This window comes from Homo sapiens, chromosome 4 (genome assembly GCF_000001405.40).
Source record: "Homo sapiens chromosome 4, GRCh38.p14 Primary Assembly".
NCBI classification, from domain to species: domain Eukaryota; kingdom Metazoa; phylum Chordata; class Mammalia; order Primates; family Hominidae; genus Homo; species Homo sapiens.
In genome coordinates this window covers 150,005,297-150,014,560 of record NC_000004.12, presented here as the reverse complement: position 1 = coordinate 150,014,560, position 9,264 = coordinate 150,005,297, and positions in this window count along the sequence as shown.

Genomic DNA, 9,264 nt, shown 5'->3' with positions numbered 1-9,264 from the left:
ATTAAACCTCTTTTCTTTATAAATTACCCAGTCTCAGGCAGTTCTTTGTAGCAGTGTGAACACAGGCTAATACTTCATGTATTTCGGTTTTGAGGATATCTTTAATGACATGAAGTTGTCAGCATGTTTTCCGAGAATGAGAAACTTAAAAGCAGTTTCTCTCAAGAATTAGAGGGACTTCACTTGAAAGTCGGAAAAAAAATGTTTTAAAAAGTGATACATTTATTATGTGCCAGGAACTCTTCCAAGCACTTTGCAGGGATCAGTTAATTTATTTCTCACACTAGCTCTAAGTTGTAGTGCTATTATTACCCCTGTTTTTATAGTTAAAGAAACTGAGGTATAGAAAAGTTAAGTATCATGTACAAGATAATATCCCCAACATCTGGACATATGTTTTCAATTCACTTTCACAAGCCTGGGGGTGCTATATCAACTATGCTTGTACCAAAGTCACATGAACTGAGACTGTAATTGAATAAGGCACTTAAGTAGTACCTCTGCATAGAGGCTACTCTCAATGAAATTCTGATTATTTTTTCTCTCTTAAGGTGGAAGCCCTTGCAAAACTTAACCTTAATAGCTTATCAACAGTTTCCCCTCAACATTGACACTGAAGTTAACAAGTTGTTTATTAAGGAGCTTTTGGAGTCAAGTATCAGAAATTTCCATAGTGCCTGGAATATCCTATTTGTTAAAAAATCAGATTACAGTTTCTAGAATTCCAAGAATTATATCTAATGTTGTTTGTGATATTAACATGGTAATAGCAGAAAGTGAACTTACAGAAAGTTTTTATTTCAATATAGTGATAGAGGAAAAATATATTTCTTAGGCAACTATAAAAATGACCCTGGTCATCATCCTACTGAAGATAGAACATGGAAAACCCATGATGTTCTTTGTAAAAAAAGAAACGCTTCCAAGCTTCTAGGATTATTTGGTTTCTAACATTTTTTTCTTCTTCTTCAAAATGTGTCATTTTTGTCACACGTTCTAGAAAGACCCTCTGTGGTGTTGGGCTTCCAGTAGAAGAGCATTGTTCATAGTCTCAAGTTAGTATTCATTTCTGAGTCAGAAATGGTACATTATGATGAGCATGAACCTGTTTCTTATTACTGCTGCTCTCCCAGCAGAGATAGAGAAGTACTAAGGCACAAAATGTGAGAGGCATTGAGTTCTCAATTGCTTCCTAATCAAAACCAGTGTCATCCATAGAACATAAGGCCAACAAAGAAATCCTTGCTGTTATCAGCAGGGCCAAGAAGTTCTACAATCACTTCTGTATTCACGCTTTTAATTTTGTATTTATCACATGCCTCTTTGGTGATCCTTTTATAAGGATAATCCCATGCCCTACATTAGGTCACTGCGTAAGGAGCTCTGGAGTCTTTTGTTAAGTGCATACATCCTTGAGCTTATTTATGAGCTGGAGAGAATTACTTTAAATGCTGATGTCCTAATCCTTTTGCCATAAGTGAACTTGGATTGTGCTTTACTATACTGGCTGGGAATTCTGACATTTTATAACTCCCCTGACTCACTTTGTCCAGATGACTAAATAGATGATGGTAGGTTTTTCAGATCACCTCTATCTTACACTGAATGTGGATGGCGTGCCTGAGAAATCTAAATAACCAAATGTATAAGTTATATGCTCCAAATAGATGCCTTGTGTGGGAAAATTACATTGTTTCTCAGTGCCTATGAGGGTTCAATAACTGTTGACTAAGTGTATCTAAGAGGGAATCTTCACATTACCCTAGTAATATGATAAGATGTATATCAAGACATTATTTCCTTGAGCATTGGCTAGAATCTACATCTGGTAGCCTGGCTTTGAGTCAGATTTTAAAATGGATGGTAAACCAATGTAGCTCATCTATGTAATAAATATTTATCAAGTACCCAATATATGCCAGGCTACTTAATATAAGTCATCAATGTATTAATTTTAAGTAGTAAGAGACCAGAGTCTTTTGATTATTGCAGGAAAAGGGCTTTACTGAATTTTGGTATATACCTAATTAAAAATACACAAAATACTGCGAGTTTCATCTCAAACCTATGGAATAAAACCGAATAGCTTTGAGGTAGGCATGTCAGACACTTTTATTATTCTTTATATTTTATCCCAGTTTAATCATCCTCAAGTAAATAGTCATACAAAGTATAGCACGGTTTCTTAAGGTAGGTCTTAAATTGAACTTATTAGGTCTTTTTTGTTTTGTTCAGCATTTCCCCATAAGTTCACTAATAGGATCTAGTATGACCATCCTGGGTTTAAATTCTGGCTCTGTCACCTAACCTGGGGTAACCACTTAAACTTCCTGAGCCTCAGTTTCTTTATCTATGAAATGGTTAAAAATAAGTTTATTACTCTTAGGCCGCAAGTAATGTACAGAAGTTGTTGGGAATTTATTAAAATAATAGGCAACTTTTAACTGGGTCTTAAAAGATGATTAAATTTTTAAAAATGTACTAATCAACACACATGCAAACACACACATACACACACACAAAGGTAATAGACTTTCTCTAGGTAAAGAAGAAGGAGAAGAACATTCAGGTGGTGGAAATGTCACATGTTATGTAAGAGAAGAGTATAATATTTAAAACTATAGGCTTGACATGCTGGCTCACGCCTGTAATCCCAGCACTTTGGGAGGTGGAGGCGGGTGGATTACCTGAGGTCAGGAGTTCAAGACCAGCCTGGCAAACATGGCGAAACCCCATCTCTACTAAAAATACAAAAATTAGCCAGGCACAGTGGTGCACACCTGTAATCCCAGCTACTCGGGAGGCTGAGGCAGAATTGCTTGAACCCGGGAGGCGGAGGTTGCAGTGAGCCGAGATGGTGCCACTGCACTCTAGCCTGGGTGACAAAGTGAGACTCCATCTCAAAACAAAAACAAAAACAAAAAACCTATACTTTAGGGGTCAACTGGTGACCCCTAATTTGGATTATGCACACCTAAGGGGCATGTACACTGCCATTTAGTCACAAGCCTATACTCTAAGGGTATAGAGAAAAAGCTTTAGCTATTTTTAATCTCTCTTCATTACTATAGGCTTAAAATACATGTATATTATTAGTTTCATGCTAGTTATATCGACTTTCATTGGTGAAATTAGTGGCTAGCTAATTAGTCACTAATTAGCCATTCAAGATATTAGAAATGGGCTTTCAGTAGTTATATTAGTGGTGTTCAAGGTATGTAGTTTGGTGAATATATTTTTGAGACACTCCTATCTTGCATGATTAGGTATAGAAATTTAGCAAGGTCTCTGTCTCTTACTCTTAAGAATGGCATATCAGATGTAACCCTCAATCAGTTCTGGGTGTAAGGGCTTATTCTCTGATTCTTGGTTGCCAGAATTGGAGTAAATACAGTATATTCAGTATACACAATATATTCAGTTAGCTGAATCCTGCTACCAGAATGTTGTTTCACATGCCTCTGGTGAGGTATTATGGACAAAATCTCAAACTGCACTGAAGTTCAAGTTAAATATGCTGTTTCACTCTTATGTCTGCTTGCTAATTAATGTCTGTTGTGGAAGAATTTGGTATGAGTCTTACTTTAATTATAACCAAGAAGCCAGGTTGTGGGGTAGTAGGTAACTCTCACCTACTTCAAATGTTTTCTGGGGCTATCATTAGCTACCAAAAAGCACCAGACTAGGTTAGCTTGGGTCTAATGTGAATGAGCTTGGAGCCAACTAAAAAGGCACAGAGCATGAGCGCTCAGGGAACAGCCAGCAGTTTAGAATGCTTGGAGTCTGGGAACATTGTATGCAGGGAGAAAGGTAGTACGGAATGAATTTAGAAAATAAGTTTGGGGCCACCTGGTGGAAGAGATGTGTGTTTCGGTCTCATAAGTGTATTCACAAAGGAAGGAGTCAGGTTTTTTAGAAGGTGAGTTCCATACTTCAGACTTGCTCTCTGGCTGCCATGTGGAGGGAGAGAGCGCCGTTAGACTAGGGTTTAGTAAACGATGACCTGAAGGACAAACCTTGCCTGCTGTCTGTTGTGGTACAGCCTGTGAACTAAGAACGGTGCTTGCATTTTTAAGTGGGGGGATTAAAAAAGAAGAAAACTATTTCATGCCATGTAAAAATTATATGAAATTCAATCTCTATGTCTATATATTAAGTCTTGTTGTTGGATTACAGCCATGCCCATTCCCTGTCCATTACTGCTTTAGCTCTGCAACCGGGGAGTTGAATAATCACAGGAACAGGATGGCTCTCAAAGCCTAAAATGTTTGCTGTCTGACCCTTTACAGAAAAAGGTCACCAGTCCTTCTGTTAGACCAGGATTGCCATAGCCCATGCAAGAAGTGAGAGAACAGGTGGTGAAGGAGTGGGGCAGGGACTTCCCTGGGTAGAATTATTTAATATAAGAATTAGATTGAATTTTGGTGGTGAGGGAGTGCCTGATGACTCCTCATCCTCCTCGTTTGTCTTGTGACGCTATAAAATGAGGAAGCATATTCGGGAGAAGAAATAATTTGGTGAGAGAGGAGAGGTAGACATTAATTTGGGCTGGGCTTATTGAATCTGAGCTACCTGTGGAAAATCTAAGTAGAGGAATCTCATATGTATGTCTTGAGGGATGTTGGGACTGGAGAATTGAGGTTTATTCATTTCAGGTCCTATTTGAAAGTCAGATCTTTTAAGGTTAGGCAGAGGAAGACAAGCCAGAGAAGGAAGAGAACTGGAGGAGAACACTGTTTTAAATAGAAATCAAAGATTAAGAGCTCTTGCTTCAAGAAAGGAATGACTAATAGTGTCAAATGCTGCAGAGTTCAAATGAGCTGAATATTACACTCAGCAAATGGCCGGTTATTGGCAGGATTAAGCAGTTTTGCTAAAGTTGAGGATTGCCTGCTTAGCAATTCCACTTGATCTCATGGCTACCTCAAGTCAACATATTCTAATTGGAACTCATCGCTTTTCTGATTCTGACACCCTACCACTGAAATCAGTGTTTCCTGTCTTGGGGATGACACTGTCATTTATCCAACTGTCAAGCCAGAAACCTGGGGGTCAGGCTGGACATGTGGTTATCCTTCACCCCAGATAGCTAACCAATTACTAAGTCACATTGATTCTATCTTCTTAATATGTCTTCAACATGCCCAGGACTCTATTTCCACTGTCATCCCTAGAATGCAGTTATAGAGTCTCTCTGCTGGACTCCTATAACAGTGTCTTAACTGTTCTTTCCCATCTGTCCTCCTCTCTCCTAATTTATTCTCTACTTAACGGCCAGAGAGATCTTTTTTTTTTTTTTTTTCCACACAGAGTTTCATTCTTGTCGCCCAGCCCAGAATACAATGGTACAATCCTGGCTCACTGCAACCTTCGCCTCCTGAATTCAAGTGATCCTCCTGCCGCAGCCTCCCAAGTAGCTGAGATTCCAGGCACATGCCACCACGCCTGGCTAATTTTGTATTTTTAGTAGAGACAGGGTTTCACCATGTTGGTCAGCCTGGTCTTAAACTCCTGACCTCAAGTGATCCACTCACCTCGGCCTCCTCAAGTGTTGGGATTACAGGCATGAGCCACTGCGCCCAGCCAGGAGATCCTTTTAAAAGCAGTGTGATCAGGTCCCATCCCTGCTTAAAGTCATTTTCCTACCACCCTAAAAGTAAAGAACAAATCCTCAGTGTGGCTCACTGGGTGTCCCACAAACATCATTTTGTACCATTTCCCCCTGAGTCTCTACAGTAAAGTCACACCAGCCCTCTTCCAGTTCCTTGAAAACACATTTCCTTCTACTTCAGGGACTTCCCATCCATTAATCATTTAGCTTGGAACATTTTCCCCACTTCCCCTTTGTGTAGTTAATACTTAGGAACTCTTTGCCTATTAGTTTATGTCACATCGTCTGCAGGGAATCCTCCAATTTCCCAGTCTAGTCTTGTCTTCTTATGCACTCTCACAGCTCTGGAGCTTCTTTTCTACTGAGAAGCGAAGGTATTGTCTAATATCTGTTTTCTCTTCTTGAAATCAGGAGCTGTGTCACCCGCCTCACCTCTGTGGCTCCAGTGTCAGGGTCAAGCAGTGCCTTTTCACTCAATGATTCCTTGTGGAATGGACGTGTAGCAAGAATGCAGAAATGGAGAGTTCTGTATGTTTTGGTCCCATAAGTTTTCTATAAGTTTGGATTCCAAAGGGAAGGAGAACAACTTAATAATAGCAAAAGTAGATTCAAAATAGCAAATAAATTCAAAATAAAGGTTTTTTTTTTTTTAAATAGATGGGGAAGACTTGAATCTATTCTAGAGTAAAGGAATTCAAAAGGAAGAGAAGTGAAGTTCTGAGAGAGATGGAGTGAGGGGTAACTGGAGAAGCAGGGAGGGGGGGGAACGTAGAGGTCAGCTGGAAGGTGCAGCCCTGGGAAAGAGGAGAGAGCTGCCTCCTGATGCTCAGGGAAGTGCATAAGAATTAGGGTCACAATGGATAATTGTGAACATATTATGAAGACATTTGGAAGCAATTAATACTTGGGCTCAGTTTTCTCCTAGAAGTGGGAAGCTGTTATGGATTGAATTGTGTTCCCCAAAAAGATTTGATAAAAGTCTAAACTTCTGGTAACTATGAATGTGACCTAATTTAGACATAGGGTCTAGGTGTAACTTCATAAGGTCATTTCGGTGGGACCTAATCCAATACAACCTTATAAAAAGAGGAAAATGCCATGTGATGATAGAGGCAGGGACTGGAGTCATGCAGCTGGAAGCCAAGGAATGCCAAGGATTGACGGCCACCACCAGGAACTAGGAAGAGGTGAGACAGGATTCCACACAGTCTCTCAGGGAGCATGCCTGTGGCTATCTTGTTCTCAGACTTCCAGCCTCTAGAACCATGAGACAATAAAATTCTGTTGTTTTAAGCCATCCAGTTTAAGCTACCTTGTTATAGCAGCCCTAAGAATCGAGTACAGATTTATGGCCATTTTTTTGAGTGGTGTAGAGCATAGTGTTGTCTTGGGGACAGTGATGAAGATATAGAAAAGCCACTGTGGGAAAAGACAGAGGGAGCTGATTTAAATCTAGCTGAATATTTCCTGAACCTTTAAAGCCATGATAGGGTGATGAAATAAGAAATAGAAATTTAAAAGACCATGTGGAACAATGGAAAACAACAAGGTAAATATCATTGTTAAAGTATTAACTTTAGCTATACCGGTTGGGCACGGTGGCTCACGCCTGTAATCTCAGCACTTTGGGAGGCTGAGGTGGGTGGATTACCTGAGGTCAGGAGATCGAGACCAGCCTGGCCAACAGGATGGAACCCATCTCTACTAAAAATACAAAAATTAGCTGAGTATGGTGGCACATGCCTGTAATCCCAGCTGCTGGAGAGGCTGAGGCAGGAGAATTGCTTGACCCTGGGAGGCAGAGGTTGCAGTGAGCCAAGATCATGCCACTGCACTCCAGCCTGGGAGAAGAAGTGAGATTCCTTCTAAAAAAAAAAAAAAAAATTTAGCTATACCCTGTCAGCCAAGTCTAAAAATACATAATGTGGACACTTCTCTTTATTTTTAAGAAAGAAGTGTAATGATTCTTAAAAAAAACAAAACAAATATTTTCTTGGTGTTGGTTTCTTATTTGAAGAACTGAGAATAACATAGTAGCAACAGATTTCATACAAAATGTAGATTCAACTCTTTTAAGCATCTACTTTGTGTCAGAACTCTATGTTACCTCATTTACTTTAATCATTACTTAATGTAGGTACTTTGTTCTCTTATTAATCTGAGAGCTGAATTTTAAAGATATTACCCAGGCAGCTTGAGGATATTGCTGATCCTGAAATAAAGGTCTCTGAACTCCCTTTAATTTCTAATACTTTCAATTCCTCATTCCACAATATAAGGTTGCAGGAATGTTTCTCAGGTAGATATTTCTTAAAGGAATTGCTAAATGCATAACAATAAAATGTAAATTCAGTGAAGATAGGTCTTCAGTGGTTTAAGTCTATGTAGTCCAAGTAAATAGCTTTCTGGAGATCTATTTTGATAAAGAAGACAGTTTAGAATACCTAAAGAGAGGAATGGATAAACCATCGTGCTCAAAAATCGCTTCTCCCTGTTGTATTTTGACAGAATCCATGGAGCAGTCTGTTCAAATTAAATTCTGGCAAAAATCCTAGAGTGCAAATATCTGGCATTACTGCTTGAAAGGAGACTCACATGGTTCAGATATCAGAATGCACTAGGCCAGTTTAACCTTCTATTGAAAGTTGAAAGCCTGACTTGTGTTCTTGCTTGGATGGAGGGTCATCTCACCTCTATGTCCTAATTAAAAATTTATTGAGTGAATAAGTTAATTTAAAAATTCTATATTAGCAATATTAGCTCAGAAATCATACGATAGATGCTATGTTGTGGCTATTTAGAGCAGCATAAATGTTCCTAGCCTTGCTGCTATTGAACATTTCTGATTTCATTGCCTGATCTGAAGGTCAAGGGCATGAACTTGATGGAAAAAAAATCCTCCTTTGGGGAATCATTAGAGGAAGTTTGCCCCAGTTCACCACCAGTGATCACAGAGGAGGGGGTACAAATGGTGCACAAAGCATACTTGCCCTTCAGTGACCCTCAAAGCACCCTGTGGCTCCATGTGTCTTTGACCAAGTTTATAGCCTTCCATTGCCCTTTGTGGCTATTGTGAAGCACCCGGGGGAGAAAGATGATCTCAGGTAGCCAGGACCCAAACTGTGCAAAATTGTCAAGATCACAATCAACAGTGCTGATTATTTACATGCAGCACCAACCACATAATCTTTATCTGTGGGATCAGGAACCACATTGACATATATCATCCAGTGCTGCTTTTTGAATCGCAGCTCCTGGGCATTAAGATGGAAAGTAATAGGAACCCCATAGGGCTGTGGATTGTGTAGCAACGTATTTTTTTTTCCAGAGCTCTGTAAAGTACTGTTGGGTAAGCTTAACATCTGATTAAATCAGAATATCTAATGAATTATTAAAATATAAAACACCACATGCAGGCTTCTTGATGACTCTGAAAACTTCTCAGCTACAATATAAATATCTCCTCCATACTTACAATGCTTTAATAGCCAAAAACATGCTACCAACTACTCTTTCACTATCACTCTTTTATAATAGTAATAAATTATATCTGAATTTTAAAAGAAAGAGCTTTGACATTTATTTTACAAATTCATGTAACTTTTTTGGTTTCTCTCTCTTTTGTTTTTGGTGCTTATAGGGGAGCATGGATT